Raw genomic sequence first — 24684 nt, 5'->3', positions numbered from 1 at the left:
TGAGGTATGCCTGTATTTACCTAACCTCTTTAATATTAATTACATCTCCATCTCCTTTCTTTCACACAGAGAATGCAGGGTCTTAGGGATACAGAAGAAGAATTAGAACATCCTGATCTATCTCATTTGTCTTTTCACGTTATACATGTAATAGTCTCAGAGTGAAAATACTAATACCACCACCATACCATGATACTGAAAATCGTTAAAAAACTAAACGACTTTTAGTTGAAAAACTAAACAACTTTTTAAAACCCATGCTGTGTCTATTATCCCTCCATTTAAAAATGATGTATTCTGTATTTTCAAGACCACATAGCTGTTACATTCAGCAGTCTCTCCTCCCTTGGTTCTGTGAGTAACTACATTGAAGTACTCTCCATCAATCATTGTGTCAATCTTGCACCAGGCATTTGGATCATCCGAAGCTTGTTCTTGGGTGGATTCCTTAAGAAGGAGTGGGAACAATATTCTCTGAGTTCTTGTATACTGATAATAAGTTATCTGTGATCTTTTTACTTGAAAGTGAGTTTCTCTGAATATAAAATGATTGGGCAGGGACAGTGCCTCACACCTGTAATTCCAGCAATTTGGGAGGCCGAGGCAGGTGGACGGGTTGAGCCCAGGAGTTCAAGACCAGCCTGGGCAACATGGTGAAACCCCGTGTCTACAAAAAAATAAAAAATTAGCTGGGTGTGGTGGTGAGTGCCTGTGGTCCCAGCTGCTTGGGAGCCTGAGGTGGGAGGACCTCTTGGACCTGGAAGATCAAGGCTGCATTGAGCCGTGATCGTGCCACTGTACTACAGCCTGGTTAACAGAGTGAGACCAATCCTGTCTCTAAATAAATAAATAAATAAAATTATTGACTCACAGTTTTTCCTTGAGTAACTAAATACCTTATTCCATTTTCTTTTGGCATAGGTGTTGCTGTCAAAGTCAGATTATAATCTAATTTCCTTTCCTTTATAAATCATATGCTCTTTTTGCCTAAATGTTCATAAGATTTTTTTTCTTCAAATATAGTTAATTTTACTAGAAGATTGTTGGTCATTCTGAGTTGGTATCTCTAGATACCATGATATGCTCTTTCAATATATAGTTTCCAGTCTTTTTTTTTTTTCTTGCATTACAGTTTTTAATTTTTTTTTTCCTGTTCCTTTGCTTTGGTTTTCTTTATCAGAAGCTCCTGTTATCCATATGCTTTGTCTTCTTTACTTCTCTTTAGTCATTGTCAGTTTCTCTCCAAACCTCTTTTCTTTTCCTCCCCCCACTCCTTTTCTTTCTTTTTTTGAGACAAGGTCTTGCTCTGTCACCCAGGCTGGAGTACAGTGGCACGATCATGCCTTGACCTCCTGGGCCCAAGCAATCCTCCCACCTCAACCTTCCGAGTAGCTGCAACCACAGGCACTCACCACCATGCCCAGCTAATTTTCTATTTTTTTTGTAGAGACGAGGTTTCTCACAATGTTGTCCAGGCTGGCCTCTAACTTGTGGCCTCAAGCATTCCTCCCACCTTGGCCTTCCAAAGTGTTGGGATTACACGTGTGAGCCACCATGCCAGGCCCTAAACCTTTTTTTTTTATTCTTTTTTTTTAGACTTTATTATTATTATTATTATTTTGCTCTTTTCCTTTTATTTCTTTTGGGGGCATTATTTGTTGTGTTTATTTGCTCTTGTGTTCTTTCTTGGTTTGTCTTCATTTATTTCTAATTTTTTTCTTGATGTCTGTCACTTTGTTTTGAGTTTTTCAAGTTCTGGTTTATAATGTTTTATATATTGTTTTCTTATTTTGAATCACTATAATGTAGTTTTTATCTCTTTTGAGCATGTCTTTTTAGCAGTCTTATATTGTCTAAAGGGATCTTATTCTGTGTCTTATTTTCTTTTTTTCTGACAGTAATTTTGGAGTTCAACCTTGATTTTTTTTTCTTGCTTATTTTTATGTGGATTTAATTTTCCCAAGCTTTTTAAATGGTGGCTTGGTTCAGATAGCTGCTCTAATTTCACAGAACTCCCTCTCTGACATATTCAGATAGTGTTCAGAAACATGGTGCCTTGCTTTCTAATATTTCCTAGCCTGGCTTTTATGTAGCCTCTCTTATGCTTTTATCCCTCTTACTGCTATCCTGCTGAAATTCGATTTCATTTCCTGGAGTGTCTCCTTTGTGGGCCCATCCTGGAAGGGAGCCCGCTGTGGGTGATTTTGAGAGTGCTGGGGTCTAGATTGTGCCTGCCTCTTCAGACCTTTTAAATTCAGTACCCATGTGCCCAGCTTCTGTTGGAAAAGGCAAAATCCTTCCCAGTTTCTGCTGCTGATCTCACACCGGCCTGCTGCCCTCAGGTCTGTCAGGTGTCCCCTTGCTGTCCCTTCCCACACACACCCGAGGCTGATCACATGCAGGTCGTGTGGCTGTTGGTGTTTGCTCCCACCTGCTTAAATTTTGGGGATATCACCTAGTTTGTGTAAATGTTGTCCCTGGATTTTTGTTTTGTTTTGTTTTCTGCTAGCTCTGTCTTTTTACGGAGGGACTTCGGAAAAACCCCCAAAAAATGCTGCCACTGAGATTCTCTCATCTTCCCAGAATCCTCAATGTCGCCCTTTTATTGGCATTGCTGGAGTGCACATTTTGTAAATTAAATAATGCTTTGGGATAAATCTTTCTAATTTTAAAAAATCTTTAAGTATAGAACTGATATTTAAATCACCCTTTAATCACTTAATATCCCCTATATCATGTTATTATTGGAGTAATTGAAGCTTGTATAGCTTAGCAGTTGAAATGAAAGTTTAAAGAAATGTTTGATCTTCTCCTAGCCTACCTGCTTCTTAATACCTTATTTTCCACCTTGCTCTTCTGAAGGTAAAAGAACACTGTATTATAGATCAAATGGTTTCAGACAACACCCCCCGCCACCCCCCGCCTTTTTTTTTTTTTTTTTAACGGAAAAGCTCTGTGTAGTTTCTCAAGCCTAGGCTATTGGTAGTAGCTCATGAGCTACAAATAGTAGATAGTATAACAAGGCCTAGTTTTAGTAGAAGAAGGATATCAAGGAGATCCTGGGAGTAGGAGTTCTGAGCATTTGCAGGTCGCTTCGCTTAAACGCTCTCAGCCCCAGTTGCCTTCCATATAATATGGAGGTATGATAATAATATGCCTATCGAGAGTCAAAAGGAAGCTGTAAACGTATAATGGACTGTTATTTTTTGTAATGGGGATTTTGATGGATACCTATAGTGGATTCCTAGCAGCAAGAGTACCTTTAATAGACATTTCATAGAAAAATACAGTAGAACCAGTTTATCAAATGAACTGTAAAAGAATAAAAGTAATTTTTTAAAAACTGCTTTTTGTATTACTTATGGTATAAATCCATGAAGTCCTAAGCATTTAAGCATTGATTTGTTAATTTTGTGGGCATTGATTTAGTGACAGCTACTTTGCAGTTTTAGGAGAGGGAACACCAATCTTAAGATACATTCCCCCATTTTTTAGACGTGGCTTCTTTACACAGCCTAAAATTAAATTATATTGACACAGTTTACCTTTCATGTACTACTTTGTGAAACAGCATTTTATACTATCACACAGCAGTTGTGTAAATTGTACTCCCAGAAACTACACTTCACTCCTAGCTTTGCAGAGTTTTGGCTCTGTGAGTTCTTTTCTTCAGCAGTATCTTCTCAAAGAGAGTTTTAAGATTGTGGCTACCTAAGTATTTTACTTGGGGGAAATATTAGCTCCAAGAAAATAATAGTGCTTTAAATAATACAAAGAGCAGTCAACTTAAGTTTAGTGAATGATGTTGATTCAACATTGTTCCTTATCTGCAGGGTAGTAATCAAACACAAATGCAAAAAATGGCTAATTTGGACAATGGGATTGCATAATTGTTCCTTCCAGAGTCTGGGAGTTGGAAAGATATTGCAAAATGATAGTCTTAATTGTCTCCAGCTATAGAATAGTCCAAATTTTTAAGTTTAAAGGACGCTTCTCCCTTCTCTCAAATCAGTTTATTCTTCTGTAGAAATCAACAAAAATACCCTATCTAATCCATTTTTGCTTCCATTATAAATTTTCCTAATATAGTTTTTTTTGGCGGGTGGGAAGGCATTTGACAAAGACTGGAAAACCTGCTAGACAATTTTTAAAAGAGCTTTAATGCTTTCTAATATAGTTTTTGCCCTGAAATAAAAATGGAAGTGATGTTTTGGTTCCTCTCAGGCATTCAGCAGGGAGGGCTTCGTCTTAATTCCATTTTGTACAGATTGCATCTGGGCCATTTGCCAGAGGATATTATAACCCTGGCAGATCGGAACCCAACACTCGGTTCTTGGTTTTCCCGAACTCGGTGCCACTCTGCACGTCATGGTTCATTTGGGAATGCCCTGATGCCCTACATGCAGGCCTTTGTGGGCGTCTGTAGGACGCTGTACTGGTCTGCAGCTGCTACCACATCTTTAAGCTTTCTCCTGTCTCATGTATTTTCTTCATTTCCCATTTGGAATTGGTTTCCTTAGGAATGGAAAAATAGGGTCTTTTGGGGGTGTAACCCTTTTTATGGCTGTAACTCTAGTCCTAGCCCAGTAGCAAGTTGATGATGGGTGACTAAAATAGGGAAGCAGTGTCTGGAAAGCAGTATTTGAAAAATAAAACTATTTAACTAATTGTACTTTAAAATTAGCACGTGAGAGAAACCCAAGTGTCTTAGTTTTCCTTTTTTCTTGTTGGGATTGTTCTCTTGAGTTGTCCTTTTTCCATATCCAGGCTTTCACATGTGAAAAGGATGCCCATGGTACAGTAGTTCTGAACATGTGCTTAAAGTTGTTTTTTTCCAGAACCACAATGGGATTTTACTGATGGATTCACTTTTTCATGTAGGAGCCCTTGGAACTGAATGTCATTTTTTTGGTTATATAGATGAGAGGTTTCTATGTTGCACAGGCTGGCCTTGAACGCCGAGCCTCACTTCCTTATGCACCAGGACAACAGGCCTGAGCCACCACAGCTCCTCTGATTTCATTTTTGTCCTTTCAAAACAAAACATTGCCATAGTAATGTGTTGTCCAAACAGAAAATGTTAGGAACACACAGCATTATTTAAATTAAGAAAATAAAATAAAAAAGAGGAAGTAGGGATAACTTGTACTCTCTGCTGCACTGAGATGCCTACTCTGGGTGTTTTGTGTCTGTTTTCCTCTGCACTCACTGCATACAGTTTTGAGAAAGCTGGTTGGTATTACAGTACCAGTCTGTAGCCATAGAACAAAGAAAAGCTAACAAGCCTGCACAGAGATCAGATCTGTCCTTACTGTGGTAATTGGCCTAGGTATAAACCAGAGCTTTCACACATAATGATATCTTGGGTGTAAATTAGTTAGTATTAATTAATTGGGTACAGTGCTGAATTAATTTGAAGACAAGACTCATTCTAAGAAATTCTGATGTTCAGACCTAGAAATATATATGGCGTCATAGTGGTCATATTAACAGCAAAAAAAGTCATCATGAAAATATGGTAGGCTCTTTTTTTTTTTTGCCACGCGCTATTCTAAGCCTTTATGTGCATGATAATATTTAGTTATTGTATCCGCACAGTAAGCCATGAGTGTGGCCTATTTTACAACTTAGGAAACAGGCTCAGAGAGTGGCAGTTTTGTTAAGGGTCACACAGCTGATAAAAGGCTCAGCCAGACCCAGATCTGTCTAGCTCCAAAGAAAGCCCCATGCTCTTCTCCCTAGTTGCAGTATTTCCTATTAGGGTGGTGCTTTGGGGCATGCAAAATGTTTGAGCTCATTTAACCCTTCTAATAACCCCTGAGTAAGCACAGCTGTCCCCAGTATTAAGGAAATTCAGGCTCCCAGAAGTGAAATCCCTTCTTAATGCTAACATGACCAATTAGTGTCCCAGCTCTGACAGGAGCCTGTGTCTTCTGACACCCAGGCCAGCATCCCATATTACACACAAGAGGACCAAACATGTACCAAGTGGTGCTTCTGTTTGTTGTTGTCCCTGAGCTGCAGGAACATCAGTCCAAACCGAGCAGGCCATCACCCAGAGTAGCAGACAACCCTGAAGAGGGCAGAGAGCCACATAATGACAGGCCTGTGAGCATGGCCTTTGGGTGCCAGCCAGAGCATGTGTATGCTGAGTGTGGAAAGACCTACAGACCGCCCCCAACCCCCAAGCTCTTTCCACAGTCCACCGTAGAGAACACCACCCCCTCTTTACCAGTGGACACAAGAATTCTGTTGTCTTCTTATTTCATTTCAGAGACTTTTTCACTCACTTTCTTCTCGCATTGCAGTCCTTGTGCTTATAGTATTAGCTTTTTCACTCTGGTGCTTTTTCCCTAGCAGCTCCTGAGCCAGCTTCTTTATGGCATTGTTTAAATGCTGCATGCACTTTTTAGAAAATTGCTCTACACATCTGCGTGTTTTATTTTGAGACTGGATATTCAATTTCTCCTCATATTCTGCTCTACTTTCACCTAAGTCTTGTTCATCCTTAGAGGTCACCTCCTCAGGGAGCCCTCCTGGGTGGACCAAGCTTGGTTAGCAGGAAGCTAATTTCGTAGTAGTGCGGTCGGCTTATGCCAGCATAGCATTGGTTGCACTGTGCAATAATACCAACTAACACTCAGTGTCTGCCTTATGCCAGGCATTCTTCTAAATGTGTCAGTTTCATGTTACCATGTTAGTCTTCAAACCGCCTCACAGAAGGCAGGTTCAATATTAAGTCCTGGAAAGGTTAGGTGAATGTCCTCAAGGTCACACCACTATGTGACTGAATCAGGAATTCAGTCACATCAGTCTGGCCAGAGCCCATAATCTCAGCCCTGCTGTGTACTGTCTCTGCATTCTGGAGGCACTATGTGTGTGTCTGGCTCTGTGCTGAGGGTTAATTAATTCCTTAATTCTCTTAGCACACCTCGCAGGCATAGGTACTAATGTTTTCTCTATGCAGTGATGTTTGCCAGGATCATCACAGGTAGTGGCCCAGGCAGGATTTGAACCAGACTCTGCCTGACTCTGGTGCTCACTCTCTAACTGTCTGTATCACACCACTTGGATTTGTTGTCTTTGATTTTCAGTCTGATAGAAGTCTCTGCTTTCTGTTAGACCATCAACTTCTCAAGAGCAGGGCCTGTATTTAGTTACCCAGTACTAGATGGGTTACAATACAATTTATTGTAACTCAATAAATGTGTTACAAGAAAGAGTTAACCAAGGTAGTAAAATGGCTTAGGTGCTTGTCTTATGTGAATAAACCCAGCTGAGGGAACCGTTAAACCAGCTGGAGGTGAGGTAAAGAAGGAACACACAGAGTTTCCTTATTTTAAAAATTAATAAATGTTGCTTCATCATTAAAATTTTCTTTTAATCCAGGAAAAGATGATGGGGAGAAGCTAGAGAAAGGAAAAGGTTAAGTCCCCATTATGAGCTCTGCTTCTGCCCTCATATTTTAAGGTTGGAAATGCTGATTATAAACAAAGTCTCCCATCACTCCACGTCTCATTAGTGATTTGGAAAATGCACTAGCTGTGCTCAGAGTGAGACACAGAGGCGTTTTCAGTCCTTGCAAGGAAACCCAGCAGGCCATGGTTGGGGTGCCATCTGGAGATTGAAGGTGGTATTACCACTCTGTCAGTTCTAAGTGGGGTCACAGTGCATCTTGCAAAATGCTTTTCCTGTTGAGTCACTGAAGTCCCATTTCATAATTGTTTTTCTGTCGACTTCATGCTTTGATCAAATTAGTAGTCACTGTTTTCTGTTTGTTCTGTTCAAAATGTCAGTCCTGCTTTATATTCAGATAGTCAAGTTCAATGTGGAGTTGTTTCACTAATCATAAATTCTTGAATAAAAATAGTGCATGTCAGGATGAAAGCTAACATGCAGTAATGGAGGAGAGCAGATGCCCATGTTCTCCGCAGGGGAAAGAGGCCTGGGTCAAGGTCTCTTCCGCAGAGGGAGGGAGAGGGCAGGGTAGGTCTTCCTTTTCCTTCTATGCTTGTTCACACCTGCCTTGCTTAAAATTTGGCTCTGGGGAAATTAGGTGATGTTCTAAGCTTGGGCCCTCAAAATGCAGGTTTATTTTTGTTATGATTTGCATAAGGGGTTATATTTAGCCTGGGCAGAATTTAGCTGTAAAAATGAACAAATCACTCAACTCATGACTTTTTCCCACTCTTCAGAATGGCAAACTTTTTGTTCTCATTTTTTGCAGGACAGTAGAACTGAGCTGAACCCTAAACACTCATCCAGTCTAGATCTCTGCCTTCCACTAAGCAATTGAAAACAGACAATTGTTTGTCTCCTTCTTTAAAGTTCCCACAAAGGAAAATTCTTTTTCTCACGTGTTCTAGTGTTGAACATGATTTTTCATTGACAAGTTCTTAAATTTTTCATGAGCTAGTTCCTCAAAATCATTTTCTGATGGTAAATTTACTTGTTTTAATCTTCATGTAGAAGATAATGATTTTAAACTTTAGCTTTTTCATAAACTTAAATATTATTTAATATCTGGTCTTCGGTAGGGTTCTTGATGCTACTCAGCTTACCTGTAACTCAGCCCTTTTCTTAGAGGTTGTTTGTTTCTTAACCTTTTGAAACCTTTGTTGTTCATTGTTAAACATAAAGTCTTTCATTCCTTCCACTCATACTTTCCCTGTCCCTTTCTCCCCCTGTGCCCAGGCATGTCCCCAATTAAGATGTGGTGAGTCTTCTGCATGTCTTCACTAGTCAAGAGGATTTTCTTAAATAACAAGTTTTATTGAGATATAATTCACATAGAATTCACTCATTTAAAATGTACAATTCACTGAGTTTTAGAATATTCACAACCATCACCACAGACAATTATAGAAAATTTTCATCACCTCATATAGAAACCCAAATCCTTTAGCTATCACCCCTCCACCTGCCTCCCTCCACTCTCCCCAACACTAAGCAACCACTATTCTACTTTCTGTCTTTACGGATTTGCCTATTCTGGACATTTCACATACATGGAATCCTGCAATATGCGGTCTTCTATGTCTGGCTTCTTTCACTTTGCATAATGTTTTTAGAGTTTGCTCATGTTGTAGCATGTATCAGTACTTCATTCTTTTTTATGGCCAAATAATATTCCAGTGTATGAATATGTCGCATTTTGTTCAGCCATTTATCGATAGATGGATATTTGGGTTGTTTCCACCTTTGGGCTATTACAAATAATGCTTCTATGAACATTCTTGTACAAGTTTTTGCATAGACACATAGTTTCCATCCTCTTGGGTATATCCCTAGGAGTGGAATTACCGGATCATATGATAACTCTGTTTAATCATTTAAGGAACTGCCAGGCTGTTTTCCAAGGTCTGCCACCAAATGGTGGCTATACCATTTTACATTTTCACCAGCCATGTGTGCAGGCTCTGATTTTTTCACATGCTTGTGAACACTTGTTATCTGTCTTTTTGATTCTAGCCATCCTAATGGGCATGAAGAGAGAGCTTGTGGTTTTGATTTGCATTTCTGTAATTACTAATAATGCCAAACATCTTTTCATGTGCTTTTTCGCCATTTATATGTCTTCCTTGAAATGTCTATTTAGATGACTGGCCTATTTTTCAATTGGGTTATTTGTCCTTTGGTTGAATTCTAAGAGTTCTTTCTATATTCAGGCTATGGGTCTCTTATCAAATGTATGATTTGTAAGTTATTTTCTCCCATTCTGCAGGTTGTTTTTTCACTTTCTTCATAGTGTCCTTTGAAGCACAAAAGCTTTTAATTTTGATGAGGTCTAATTCATTTTTTTCTTTTGTAATATTTTCTATAATACATGTTATAAAAATATTAAGTGTATTTTTGTTTTCCAAGTGTAAAATTATAGAAAATATGTTTTAAAAACTATGTCATCCCATCAAGAACCACAGACTTAGCTAAGTGTCTTCATTCCCATTCCTTTTCTTGAGTGTTTCAATCATTTTGTAGTTTTCTTTCAATTTTTTGCATGCTTCTAACTGGAGAGTTTTGAACTTAACAAGGAATTTAGAATAAAATCCCAAATAATATTAAATAAAAGCTGAGAGGAAATGTTTTGTAGTCCTTGTTGGTATCCTGATCTCCGATAACATATTACATTTTAAAAACAGCCGATACTTGGGAGTCTGAGGCAGGAGAATTGCTTCAACCTGGGAGATGGAGGTTGCAGTGAGCCGAGATCGCGCCACTGCACTCCAGTTTGGGTAACAGTGTGAGACTCCGTCTCAAAAACGAAAAACAAAAAACAAAAAAACAAACAAAAAAAAAACCGCCTAACACGGTCATTTCACAACATTCTGCCTTTCATCCAGATATCACTCTATGTTCTGTTTACATAGAGCAAATCTTTATAGTGGATGGTCACTGTAAATGTGATAATGAAAGGCAATAGCTTTCATGTGGATCATCTTTCTTCCTTGTCCAACAGGTATGGCAGATCCCAGAAAATGGACTCACCCTTTCCCTGACTGAACCTGTGGTGATTTTGGAAGGCCACTCAAAGAGAGTCGGCATCGTGGCTTGGCATCCAACGGCCCGCAATGTGCTTCTTAGTGCAGGTGGGAGCTGAGCTCAGCGGTCCTCCCCTTGTCTTCCACTCTTGTGGCTCTCTGAGTGGGGGGAAGCAAATGTGTTTTGGTTGTGTGCTATATGGTTTTAAAGCAGATTATTAGGAAACCATGGTGAAGAGTATTGGGGTGCACTGCTCCCCCAGCCCACATACATACTTGTGTGTGTGTGCACGTGTGTGTGTTTCAAGGCCATTTCGACAACCTGAGGAAAGCTATGAATTTCCTGCTATAATTTCAGCAGGTTTCATGGTTCCTGCCAGGGCCCTCCATGAACCATAGTTTTGGTTATTTCTGATATGGTAGAAGGTGTACTTTGTTGGGAGCCAGAAGCCCTGTGTTCCCTCTGTGGTGTTGCTGCCAGCTTTGGGAGACCCCTATTAGGCAAATACACTCCTTCCTTTTAAAGAAAACTTTGATTTTCCCCTGCTATACAATTAGTACATGTATACTGTAGAGAACATATATAAACAAAAGGAAAAAAAAATCACTTTTAATCCCACCACTCAGAGAGAAGATCATTATTACTTTTTTGATGTTTCTTTCCGAAAGATATTTCTGTGCACATACATAAATTATTTTACATACAGAGATGGGTTCATACACTTTACACATGGGCTGCTTTCTGCACTTGGTGGTAGGCTGTGACCCTTTTCACGTGCCATTAAGCTCTCTTCCTATTTTTAATGACTTCATACTAATCCATTTTCTGGATATACCTCATTTTACTTGATAAGTCCCCTATTTCTGGACACTGGTGTTGTACAGAAATCTTTTCCTTTATCTAAAATTGGAGATTTCATTTTCTTTTATGAAAGCAATACAGAGAGCATGAGGGAACTTTGTGGGGTGATGGAAATATTCTGTATCTTGATCATAGTAGTGGCTACATGAGTTTATACATTTGTTGAAACTTAGCAAATATATACTTAAAATGGGTGCATTGTATTGTATGTAAGTTATACCTTAATAAAAGTGGTTTATTTAAAAAGTGATACTAATGTTAGAGATAGGATTTTTAAAGGTCTTTCCCCTCACCAGTAAAAAGGAGGAGGGGCAGTTCAGTTTTTAACTGGGAATACACAATGTTTATGACTCATAGTGAGTTAAATAAAAAATTATAATGCCAAGTAACTATTGAAACTAAGGCCCACTTTTCAAAAAAGATGCCATGTTTTTTATAATCACCATCGACTATACTTGGGAATCATTTTTGATGTTCTCTCAGAACCTCAGTCTGATTAAGGAGAGGAAAAAAATTCCAGAGCTGGAATTCCTTCATGGAAAATTCCCTGCTACCTTTCTCATCAAGGCTCAATACAGGGCAGCAGCAACAGACTGGTCTGCATTCTCCCTTTTACATGTGAAGGAGAATGGGTGATTGTCGTGTTCTGCATATTTTTAGGCTATATGATCCAGCTGCCGGGGCTGAAGTTACCTGTTTGCCTATAGGGAAGAAGGCAGAGGAAGGTTCAATTGTCCATCCCAGAGTTTAGCTTCAACTTTTGTTACTGTTGTGTAGTTTTTTTCTCCAGTTTCCTACTTCTTTTTTTTTTTTTTTTTTTTTTGAGATGGAGTTTCGCTCTTGTTGCTCAGGCTGGAGTGCAATGGCATGATCTCAGCTCACCGCAACCTCCGCCTCCTGAGTTCAAGCGATTCTCCTGCCTCAGCCTCCCAAGTAGCTGGGACTACAGGCATGTGCCACCACACCTGGCTAATGTTGTATTTTTAGTAGAGACAGGGTTTCTCCATGTTGGTCAGGCTGGTCTCCAACTCCTGACCTCAGGTGATCTGCCCGCCTCGGCCTCCCAGGGTGCTGGGATTACAGGCGTGAGCCACCGTGCCCGGCCAGTTTCCTACTTCTAACCCTTAGGTAACTTAAGTATCCTGGATGTTAGTGACTATTTTTTCTAAATGATTTCCAAATTGCTTTGTTGGCAAGAATCCACCTCTAGGATGTCCTTCCCGTATTTTGCTTCATCCTTGAACTAACATCCTAGGAGCAACACATGCTGCCTCTTTTTAAAGGGGCCTGGAGGCGTGGGGCAGACCCTTGAAGGAAGGAAGGAGTTGGTGAGCTGAGATGGTGAATGAGTTGACATTGTGGGCTTCTTTCAGAATCCGTTTCTGAATCTATGTAGCTACTTGATTACAGTTTGGGCTTCTCACCATGATCAGAGCAGTCTTGGCCTATTTTTCTCTTCATTTAAAGGTACAGATCTGTTGTGAGCAAACAGGCCTTACTCTTGGCTTTTCCCTTCCACTGTTGTACCATCTTTAATATCCCAAAGCTGTGTCTTAGAGTCTCACTGATTTGAATAACCTGCCACCCAGAGTTTTTGTTGAGTGCCCTAAACAGTCATTTAAACCTTTTACTTTTAGTTTATTTGGCACGTGAAAAGGGTCACAGCCTACCACCAAGTGCAGAAAGCAGCCCATGTGTAAAGTGTATGAACCCATCTCTGTATGTAAAATAATTTATGTATGTGCACAGAAATATCTTTCGGAAAGAAACATCAAAAAAGTAATAATGATCTTCTCTCTGAGTGGTGGGATTAAAAGTGATTTTTTTTCCTTTTGTTTATATATGTTCTCTATAGTATACATGTACTAATTGTATAGCAGGGGAAAATCAAAGTTTTCTTTAAAAGGAAGGAGCGTATTTGCCTAATAGGGGTCTCCCAAAGCTGGCAGCAACACCCTGATGCTTGTTTTACTAGAAAGGGAAACTTGAAGTCACTTGGGTCTACCAGCCCAGTTAACTCTTTAAAGAAAATAGGGTTCTGTTTTGGTGTGGTTCTTTGTTTTTGTTTGGTTGATTGTTTCATATGAACCCAAACTTAACAAGTTGTGTTTTTACTTTAACACTTTTATTTCTTTTATACAAACTTTTTCCTTTGTCACTTCAGTTTTTAACGCTGTTAGTAAGTAGGGCCTCTGGTAGGGCCTCTGACAATCAGCCGCATCTTTTCTCTCTCTCTCTTTCTCTCTCTCTCTCTCTGCATATACATATGTGTATTCTCACTGTATCTGTAGTTTTCTGAGTGTGTTACATAGGTGTTTCTAATCTTCTAATCTCTGATGGTTTTGCCTGTTTTAGGCTGTGATAATGCCATTATCATCTGGAATGTGGGAACAGGGGAAGCCCTTATAAACTTGGACGATATGCATTCAGACATGATTTACAATGTGAGCTGGAACCGGAATGGCAGTCTGATCTGCACAGCTTCCAAAGACAAGAAAGTGAGAGTCATTGATCCCAGGAAACAAGAGATTGTTGCTGTGAGTATTCCTAGGATGAAAACTCAGTAGTTGGAGCACTTGAGTGAGTGTGAGCTTTCTGCTTTTTAAGGCAGGCAGCGGTACTGGTCAGTGGGACCCTGTTGTGTGTAGACACCAACTGTGAATAAGAGAAGGCTTATAAAGGCTTCTGTCTCCCCAGTTGTGCTTCTCTCCAGAGTTGTAAATTTTCCAGCTTTTACTCAAGTCTCTCACTTTGTAGCCTTTTTTCACAAAGAAATAGTTTGTATCAGTTCACTAGAGTCCTTAAGAGTTTATAAGTCTTGATCAATTAAACCAATTGGCTGCATTCCTGATTTTGCAGCTTAGTATTGAATATTGATGAATCAATTCCTCACCCTTTTCCAAACACAGCTGTTAAAGATGCAACAGGTGGCCGGGCATGGTGGCTCACACTTGTAATCCCAGCACTTTGGGAGGCCGAGGTGGGTGGATCATTTGAGGTCAGGAGTTTGAGACCAGCCTGGCCAACATGGTGAAACTCTGTCTCTACTAAAAATACAAAAATAAATAAATAAATAAATAAATAAATGCGCAGGGCGAAAAGCAACAAGTTCTCTCATCAGCTCAGTGTCTTAGTTTCTGCCACCCAAACTGGACCTCAACAAAATCACATACCTTGACAAAAGATGGACATTTGGGTCTTCAGTCGGTGTTGAAACTACACATAGTAAGTCTGAGAAGTCCTCATTTGCCACACTCTGAGGCCCTTCCTGAGATGTGGTTGTTCTTTGGCTGCATCTCTTTTCAAGAGTTGGGCAATGATAGTAGCTGGTGCTTACTGAGCCCTGGGGACTTGCCCAGCCCTGTGTTAAGTGTTTTCTCCACCCGACATCTTCTAAGGGTTGTCCTAGTGCATTCATTAAACTACTGAGGTCAAGGAAAGCGTTAACTAGACAAGGCTTCTTTCTGCCCTATGATATTGGTAGAAATGGTAGGGCATGCCTAATCTCCTTATGTTATTATCCTCTTGAGAAACAAACATTTGTCAGAGTCCTTTCATGTGTTTTATTTTCACAGTGCATAGACTTGGGTTGGCAGCAGGATATGGTGGAGAGAGCGAGTCTTCTGAGTTAAATCCTGGCATTCTTGCAGCCTCACAGAGGGACCTTGACCAGATCACATAGTATCTCTTTGTTTCCTCATCTGGGGAAGGGGGATGGTTAACACTGACCTCCCTCCCACACCCAGGTGAACATGAATGGCAGTTGGTGAGGTTGGATCTGTGCCCGAGTTTCTCCACTCACCTTGTCTTCTTGCAGTTTAATGTGTGGCATGTGCCTTTTTGCTCTCCAGGAGAAGGAGAAAGCACATGAAGGAGCAAGACCCATGAGAGCCATCTTCCTGGCCGATGGCAATGTCTTCACCACTGGGTTCAGCCGCATGAGCGAGCGGCAGCTGGCTCTCTGGAATCCGGTACGCCCTCCCCAGGCTTTCCACTTGCTTTCACTTGAGCTTTCTCTCTGTTCTGAGCAGGTCTTCCAGTGAGTAAGTAGATTATGGGATTCTTAGTGTAGTTTTCTAAACGCCTGATTGTCTTAGATTGGATGTGAAGTTCTTATCCTCGTTGGAGACTTACTGGTAAATGTATTTCAAAGACATACTTTTGATACTCCTGAAGAGGCTGTTGACTATATATTTTTTATTTTTTTAATTTTTTTTAATTTTAATTTTATTGGTCATTTTTGGGTGTTTCTTGCAGAGGGGGATTTGGCAGGGTCATAGGACAATAGTGGAGGGAAGGTCAGCAGTTAAACAAGTGAACAAAGGTCTCTGGTTTTCCTAGGGAGAGGACCCTGCGGCCTTCCGCAGTGTTTGTGTCCCTGGGTACTTGAGATTAGGGAGCGGTGATGACTCTTAACGAGCATGCTGCCTTCAAGCATCTGTTCAACAAAGCACATCTTGCACCGCCCTTAATCCATTTAACCCTGAGTGGACACAGCACATGTTTCAGAGAGCACAGGGTTGGGGGTAAGGTCATAGATCAACAACATCCCAAGGCAGAAGAATTTTTCTTAGTACACAGCAAAATGAAGTCTCCCATGTCTACTTCCTTCTACACAGACACAGCAACAATCTGATTTCTCTATCCTTTCCCCACCTTTTCCCCTTTTCTATTCCACAAAACCGCCATCGTCATCATGGCCCGTTCTCAATGAGCTGTTGGGTACACCTCCCAGACAGGATGGTGGCCGGGCAGAGGGGCTCCTCAATTCCCAGAAGGGGCGGCAGGGCAGAGGCGCCCCCCACCTCCCGGATGGGGTGGTGGCCGGGTGGAGGCTGACCCCCCACCTCCCTCCCGGATGGGGCTGCTGGCCGGGCGGGGGCTGCCCCCCCACCTCCCTCCCGGACGGGGCGGCTGGCCGGGTGGGGGCTGACCCCCCACCTCCCTCCCGGACGGGGCGGCTGGCCGGGCGGGGGCTGAGCCCCCACCTCCCTCCCGGACGGGGTGGCTGCCGGGCAGAGACGCTCCTCACTTCCCAGACGGGGTGGCTGCCGGGCGGAGGGGCTCCTCACTTCTCAGACGGGGCGGCTGCCGGGCGGAGGGGCTCCTCACTTCTCAGACGGGGCGGCTGCCGGGTGGAGGGGCTCCTCACTTCTCAGACGGGGCGGCTGCCGGGCAGAGGGGCTCCTCACTTCTCAGACGGGTCGGCCAGGCAGAGACGCTCCTAACCTCCCAGACGGGGTCCCGGCCGGGCAGAGGCGCTCCTCACATCCCAGACGGGGCGGCGGAGCAGAGGCGCTCCCCACATCTCAGACGATGGGCGGCCGGGCAGAGACGCTCCTCACTTCCTAGACGGGATGGCGGCCGGGAAGAGGCGCTCCTCACTTCCCAGACTGGGCAGCCGGGCAGAGGGGCTCCTCACATCCCAGACGATGGGCGGCCAGGCAGAGATGCCCCTCACCTCCCAGACAGGGTGGTGGCCGGGCAGAGGCTGCAATCTGGGCACTTTGGGAGGCCAAGGCAGGCGGCTGGGAGGTGGAGGTTGTAGCTAGCCGAGATCACACCACTGCACTCCAGCCCGGGCAACATTGAGCACTGAGTGAACGAGACTCCGTTTGCAATCCCGGCACCTCGGGAGGCCGAGGCTGGCGGATTACTCGTGGTCAGGAGCTGGAGACCAGCCCCGCCAACACAGCGAAACCCCGTCTCCACCAAAAAAATACGAAAACCAGTCAGGCGTGGCGGTGCGCGCTTGCAATCGCAGGCACTCAGCAGGCTGAGGCAGGAGAATCAGGCAGGGAGGTTGCAGTGAGTCGAGATGGCAGCGTCCAGCTTCGGCTCGGCATCAGAGGGAGAGCGTGGAAAGAGAGGGAGAGGGAGACCGTGGGGAGAGGGAGAGGGGGAGGGGGAGGGGGAAGGGGAGAGGGAGGGGACTATATTTTTTAAAAAGAATGAAGAATCTAGTGTTTTGGATTTGGAAAATAAGTTCATATTTCATAAATAATATGATCAGTTGTCTAAATCAAAATAGTCATGCTTGGGAAAATGTTCATAATTAGCTTAAGTGGGGAAAAATACAACATACATTCTATCATCTCAATCTCTGTGTACATGTGTCGGAAGGAAATAGATCAAAATGATAATAGCTTCTGTCACCCACTGGGCTGTAGGATTTTGATGGAATGATTTTTATGTTCTTTTTTATATCTTTCAACTTTTTAAAAGCACACATATTTTATAATTAAAGAAGTACTTTAAAAAAATAAAATAGGGTAGGCGCAGTGGCCATTCCTGTAATCCCAGCACTTTGGGAGGCTGAGGTGGCTGGATCACTTGAGGCTGGGAGTTGGAGACCAGCCTGGCCAACATGGTGAAACTCTGTGTCTACTAAAAATACAAAAATTAGCCACGGGTGGTGGCATGTGCCTATCTATAATCCCAGCTCTTGCCAGGCTGAGGCAGGAAAATCGCTTGAACTTGGGAGGCGGAGATTGCAGTGAGCCGAGATAGCACTACTGCACTCCAGCCTGGGCGACAGAGGGAGACTCAGTCTTTAAAAAAAAAAAAAAGAAAAAGAAAACAGTAACAAAGGAGAAGGGCTTTCTCATCATTGTCATGAAATCACGCTGATGTATGCGCGCATTATGTTGTCAAATCAGTGAAATTTTGTGAGTTGGATCTCATTTAGCATCCCTGTTGCTGTTTCCATGTATGAGTATTGTATGTGCATAGTTCAAACTTCTGTTATTCTAGGAAAATGGCTCGCTTAATTGGGATAGAAGAATATATAATAAGGTTATAAAAATTTATTTTTAAAAAAATGTATACATACACATATATGTATTATTATTATCTTCCCCCCAGAAAAATATGCAGGAACCAATTGCTCTTCATGAGATGGACACTAGCAATGGGGTGTTGCTGCCTTTCTATGACCCTGACACCAGCATCATTTACTTATGTGGAAAGGTAAACAGTAATTTTGATGTTTGGTGTTAAATCCTGTAAGTGGAAACATTTATCCTTCAGAGATTTAGAGGACGGGCAATGTGTTGTATCTGTTTAATTTTTCTAATTTGTGTGTGTATGTTATAAGCCAAGGACAGATAATTTGGTATTTTTAGGTCTTGAGACTGGACTGTGTGCAGCTTGCCAGTTGTGCAGTGATAACACGCCATGTTGCATACTTTTGACTGAAGCAGAGGTTGGGCTGGGGTATTGGGGAAAATGCTCCAATCAGGGCGCTCTTGTGAAAAAAAGAAGATACACTGGTGTTTCATCTTCACCTAGCAGTGCTACCTGATTGGTGATTTTAGATTTATCTGTACTTATGTCAGGGATGGGCAACCAGTTGGCCACATCTAATGCTGAAATTTGTTGGATAACCCTAGATGAGCATGTGTATACTTAGTACCACACACCATGGACTTGGAAGGAGAATGGTGCTTTGTGGATGCAAACTTTTGAGGGCCTCAGAGACTCTCCAGAGGGTTCTTGTTCCTGGGGTTCAGTGCTAGGGCTCTGGGCTTGAAGATATGAGGCCTGACTAAAGCTCAGGGGTGATAACAGTTATAGGGAGACTCCACACTGAACTCCAAAAACCTTCCTCCTGCCTTATGAGCTCAGCATACCTAGACTGTGGGTAGCTTTATTATTTCATTTTTGTAAGTGGGAACCTTATAGTTCCCTTTTTTTTCTTGTAGGCTCAATTTCCCTTAGAACTTTTTGTAGTTGAAATAAATGAATTAATAACAGTGGAGCTGTTGAGGTAGTCCCTAGACCTGTTAGATAGCCCTTCACTGGGTGGTAAAGCTGGTGTTTGCTTTTCATAGCTGATTGAGCATGCTGCAGACCTGCTTTACATTTTTATAGGTCATTGTTTTAGAAATGGAGATCTTGTCTGTTTCCTTGAAAGCCATTTTACTGCAGATGTTAACAGGTGTTAAGTGCATTTACCTTGCTGTTGTTGCCCTTGACTGAATTAAAACAAACAAAATGAGCAGTTACTCAGATATTAGTAACATGAGATGGAAAATTCTTTTGGGCATGCAGAAATGACTAGTAAGGGTTTAGCTTCTTTTCCATTGCTTTAGATATCTCAGTCATTGAGACAAATGGAAATCATGAGAACTGGGAGCACTGTTGAGGCATGATACCACCTAGCTATTTTTGCCTTCTTCTTTCTTACATATATGTATATCTCCTCTCTGCCAGACAAGATTGCCGTCATTGTTCAGGTTGGTGTAACTGTGTGACAATTATTTGTACTTAGACTAACATATGCTTCAGTACTCAAAGATATCTGACTATTCTAAGCAAGAAAGTAGTAGAATTGTACACATTGCCATGAGATGGCACTTTCTGAGGATACTCACTAAAACTGAGTTTCTTCATTAGAAAAATCTCACTTTTTATCATCATACTGGCATAACAGCATTGCGTTATGCCAGTAAATGAATACTTAAATCAATAATTGCATTCTCAGCAGTCCTCTTAGTCTTTGTTTGTTTGTTTGTTTTTCACAGTTGAATTGCAATGTAGCTGTTTGGCAGAGGCATTAACATTTTTGCCCTAACCCTGGCCTGGTGCCTAGGCTCAGGGGAGTAAAATTAGAGCCAGGAGCCAGGAGGCTGAGGAGACCACTTAAAAGGCATGCTAGCATTTGATAAGTAAGGGGTTACTTTGTGAGGAAAAGAAACTTTTATATGCTTTAGGCAAGCCTCTTTATGAGGAAGAAAAGGTCAGCTACTGAAGCGGGGTCCCAACTACTGCTGGGTTTGTAGAGGAGAGAGACACCCCCATAATCCAGATGTTTCAGTTAACAATCAGACACAGACTTGTCTCTGGTTTCTTACAGGGTGACAGCAGTATTCGCTATTTTGAGATCACGGATGAATCCCCGTACGTCCACTACCTCAACACATTCAGCAGCAAGGAGCCTCAGAGAGGGATGGGTTACATGCCCAAGAGGGGACTTGATGTTAACAAATGTGAGATTGCCAGGTAAAGAATCGAGATTGTCAAGTATTCTAGGTTGGTGTAACTGTGTGACAATTATTTGTACTTGGACTAGCATATACTTCAGATCTCAAAAATATCTGACCATTCTGAGCAAGAAAGTAGTAGAATTGTACACATTGCCATGAGATGGCACTTTCTAAGGATATCACTAAAACTGAGTTTCTTCATTAGAAAAAAATCTCAAAAAAAAAAAAAAAAGAAAAGAAAAAAATCTCACTTTTTTTTTTTTGAGACGGAGTCTGGCTCTGTTGCCCAGGCAGGAGTGCAGTGGTGTGATCTCAGCTCACTGCAACCTCCGCCTCCCTGGTTCAAGCAATTCTCCTGCCTTAGCCTTCCAAGTAGCTGGGATTACAGGCGCCCACCACCACACCCGGCACATCTCACTTTTTATCATCACCTGAATGCCTGGTGATACCAGAGCAATACAGCTACAAGAAATTCTATGAAGCCCAAGTCTTTCTATCCTTGTGTGTACTGTGGAATTAATACCTCATTTCCTGCCCATATAACTGAAGTGCAACAATGAAGCAGCATAGCTGGGGTGTATTGCACACCTACTGAAATAGTGAAACATGCATCTTTAATCTTCAAGCTGAGGCCATGGTCAGCGTTCCCTGGTGGGCAAGTAGGGAGAGCCTGGCTCGGGGATGGAAAAGTGGGTGGTTTTCCTACCCTATGAGTGGAAGAACCAGAGTCAAAACTGTATTTGGGGCCCCACTGGTCCTAAAATAGAGAAACCAAAGGTCCTATAATGGGGCGGTAGGTTAGCTTGATTTAGGAAGTTCAGCTATGATATAATTTCTACCTCTCTGTACTACTTCTGATTTTTAGAAAATTCATATTCTAAATGCTAGCAGGCTTCCTAAGGGACAGGCTTTTTTCTCATGCTAGTCAACAAATATATCCTCTGAGACTCAGTGACCACTGGCCATTTCAAACAACAGAATAATTAGCACTACATCATCACATATAAGGTCGTACCAAACATTTGTGTAACACTGTGTTTATGTGGACTTTTAAAACGCTTGCTGTTCTGGTCTCACAATTAAAGAATTGATACTTACGTCTTCCAAATAAAAGGAAGAGAATTTTTATAAGCCCCTTTTTTATATTAATCTCTACTAAAAATAAAAAATTTGCTATGTGTGGTCGTGGGTGCCTGTAATCCCAGCTAATTGGGAGGCAGAGTCAGGAGAATCACTTGAACCCAGGAGGCGGAGTGAGCCGAGATGGTGCCACTGCACTCCAGCCTGGGCAACACAGCGAGACTCCGTCTCAAACAAACAAAAACAAACAAACCAAAACTCTCTATGTGATTTTTTTTTTTTAGTTGGAATAATGAAGGAAAGCTGTTAAAGATAATTGAAAATTGTGGTTTAAACCAAACTAATCAAAATATGGTTCAAAATAGACTGAATTCAAATTTATGATTACATCCAATATTTTGAAACACATTTGTTGTCATCTAAAAGTTCGACAGACTATAAACACAGTTGTTCAGAATGTCTCCGATTTATGAAGTGTTTCTTGAGCATTTATTGTATGCCAGGACTGTGCTAAATATGCTACTTGCTACCTCTTTCTTTTCATAACAATCATATGTGGTAGGTGTAACTTTTATCCCCATTTTATGGATGAAGAACTTAAGGCTTGGTGAGGTTGTCACACTCTCGTGGGTTTTGGTAGTAGAGCTGGAAGTCAAAGCCAAGTCAGTCTTTTTATTGGCTATACTAACCACAGAATTTTCATTAAATCAGTCTTTAAAAATGTTTTTGGGCCAGGAGTGGTGGTTCACCCTGTAATCCCAACACTTTGGGAGGCCAAGGTGGGAGGATCACTTGAGCCTGGGAGTTCAAGAGCAGTATGGACAATCTAGTGAGACCCTGTCTCTACAAAACATTAAAAAAATTAGCCAGGTGTGGTAGTACGTACCTGTGGTCCCAGTTATTCCAGAGGCTGAGGATTTGGCTTGAGCCCAGGAGGTCAAGACCTCAATGAGCTTGTGCCACTGCACTCCAGCCTGGGCGATGGAGCAAGACCCAGTCCCAAAAAAAAAAAAAAAAAAAAAAAAAAGGTTTTTGGTTTATCTGGGACTCTTTTAGTTTTTGGTTGAAATAGTAAAGAGGCACATTTGACACAACCTTCCTTTTAAAGAGGATGATGATTTTATAAACCTTTACCACCCTGAGCTCTACTCAGCTTTTGTTCCCCTGATGCGTTAGAGCAGTGTATCTGCCAGGTTGTCTTCAATGGACTCCTGCCCAGTTTCAGATGCCAAAGGCTGCAGGTTTCCAGGAGAAATGGTTTTGCATATTTGATGTGGCTGTGTCTTCTCTGACTTAAACTCTTGGAATTCAGAAAACATTTCCCCAGCAGCATTGACGCCCACATTCAACTCCCCCCTTGCACACCAGCCGTTTGATCTGGTGATCTGGCCAGGATGCTCACTAAGGCTACCTCTCTTGCCAGGAGCTTTAGAGACTTTTTTTGTTGTTTCCCGTCTTGACTGAAAAAGAAAATTGGCTTGACCTTATCAGGGTCATCATAAGAGAAGTCATTTCTGGTCTGTTTAGTTCTCTTGTAGGATACAAATAAAAATGTTATACCTTTCTTCCCCATTACAGAGCTCTTTGCTCCCTTCTTCCAGTATTACAGTGCAAGTGGCTTTACATTCTCTTTCCACATTTTGGATAGTTTCACATTTTTCTTGAGTGTCATGTACGATGTGGTTTGCTAGGATGAGAAAATCATAATCCTAGGATTGTTTTCTTTTGCTTTCTAAAAGTCATATTTATACTTATATGTTCAACCACCTCAAGCTGGCAGAAGACCTTGTACCCGCGTTGTAGATACAATCTAACAGATGTGTGTTCTCTCCTGTAGGTTGACATGGTAATTTTTTCATAAGTGAGTCAGTTTCAGTGTTGCTATTATTTCCACCACAGTTGGTCTGTCCCCCAGATAATTGGCATTTGTCATCATCATACGTAGACCTCTACTCATGGTTCTTGTCTCCAGTCTGCCAGTTCCTAGCATAGTGACTCTCAGCTTCCGTTCTCTCATCTGTCAACCGGGAACACTAAATTCTGCCTATTCCCGGGGTGGATCAGATGTGGGGATGGGTAAAGAAGCACTTGACATTTCAGACAGCATTGTAGAAAACTAATTATTCATCCTGTTAGTCAGCCTCATATTTCACTTAATGCAACTTTGCCTTTATTTCCCCTCTGAAGATTCTTCAAACTTCATGAGAGAAAGTGTGAACCTATTATTATGACTGTTCCCAGGAAGGTGAGTGCTGAGTTTTCTAGACAATCCATATTTTAAACAAATGTAAAAATAAAATTCAAAAATCCCAGGCCTTTCTTCTTCCTTACCCACGGGTGCCAAATGTCTCTTGTAGTCTGACCTTTTCCAAGATGACCTGTATCCTGACACAGCGGGGCCAGAGGCCGCGCTGGAGGCAGAAGAGTGGTTCGAAGGCAAGAATGCAGACCCAATCCTCATCTCCTTGAAGCACGGGTACATTCCAGGCAAAAACAGGGATCTCAAGGTGGTCAAGAAGAACATTCTGGATAGCAAGCCCACTGCAAACAAGAAGTGCGACCTGATCAGCATCCCCAAGAAAACCACAGACACGGCCAGTGTGGTGAGGACCAGTGGAGTGCAGGGGTGCTTGGCTGGTTCAGGCTTTATCCTCTAGAAAGCCCTTGTGGTCCAGGGCGTCGGCGAGTACTGTCCCAGCTGGGTGCTCAGGGGTTTTCAGTAAATGAAAAAGTGGGAGAAGGTCCTCGGTCACGTGATGGTGGTGGTTTGTGGCAACACTTGCCTCCTTTAACGGAGTTAAAGCTCCTTTAGCCCCATTAAAGGAGCCAAGTGTGGCCACAGACCACCATGATTGGGATAGGTATCAGTTTCCTCCTATCTCTCAGTGTGAACAGGAGCCTCTTGGGTTTTTCCTGTCTTTTGCCAAACTAGTTAAACCCTTCTCTGATTTGGGTAGAAATAAAATATCATGGGAGTGTGGGGTCATAGGCACCAGGGAGAGGAGGTCCCTGGAAGGAGGGAGTGGCACGTGTTCAGATGTAGCTGAGTGGCTACGACAGAAGGATCTGGCGGTGTGGGGCTGGCAACAAGGGGGATTTAGGCAAGAGCCCTTTGGGTGGGGAATTGGGAATCAAGCCTGCCTTTGACTCGCTGCGGCCACTGGAGAGTGCTGCTGTTGCCGGGAGAGCAGGTCCTGGGTAAGAGAGAAGGAGTGGACACACAGGGCAAGGGTTTCCCTCCCAAGAAGGAGCCTCACAGATGGCAGGAGCTCTGTAG

At 42.2% G+C, this 24684-nt stretch overlaps 1 protein-coding gene and 1 pseudogene across 3 annotated transcripts in view, besides 1 other annotated feature; one reads left to right on the top strand and one right to left on the bottom strand.

The window, feature by feature from the left end:
- The window catches only part of CORO1C (coronin 1C), an 86410-nt gene that overhangs the window by 58904 nt on the left and 2822 nt on the right, over positions 1–24684 (top strand). For all 3 annotated transcript variants that reach the window (NM_014325.4, NM_001276471.2, NM_001105237.2), the window contains exons 4-10: positions 10457–10586; positions 13696–13877; positions 15192–15311; positions 18205–18309; positions 20198–20343; positions 23595–23652; positions 23765–24010. In NM_014325.4, coding sequence (NP_055140.1) covers positions 10457–10586; positions 13696–13877; positions 15192–15311; positions 18205–18309; positions 20198–20343; positions 23595–23652; positions 23765–24010 — 987 coding nt within the window. The remainder of the gene's footprint in view (positions 1–10456; positions 10587–13695; positions 13878–15191; positions 15312–18204; positions 18310–20197; positions 20344–23594; positions 23653–23764; positions 24011–24684) is intronic.
- Positions 4107–4167, bottom strand: RNU7-169P (RNA, U7 small nuclear 169 pseudogene; annotated as a pseudogene).
- Positions 7843–7912: an enhancer, noted in NCBI's record as "active region_6974". NCBI's record gives its function as "activates an Ori minimal core promoter by ATAC-STARR-seq in GM12878 lymphoblastoid cells {active_cell/tissue: GM12878}" and the evidence as "EXISTENCE:reporter gene assay evidence [ECO:0000049][PMID:35858748]".

The sequence above is a fragment of the Homo sapiens genome, chromosome 12 (genome assembly GCF_000001405.40).
Source record: "Homo sapiens chromosome 12, GRCh38.p14 Primary Assembly".
Classification (NCBI taxonomy): Eukaryota; Metazoa; Chordata; class Mammalia; order Primates; family Hominidae; genus Homo; species Homo sapiens.
This window is presented reverse-complemented; position numbering and strand designations above follow the sequence as displayed.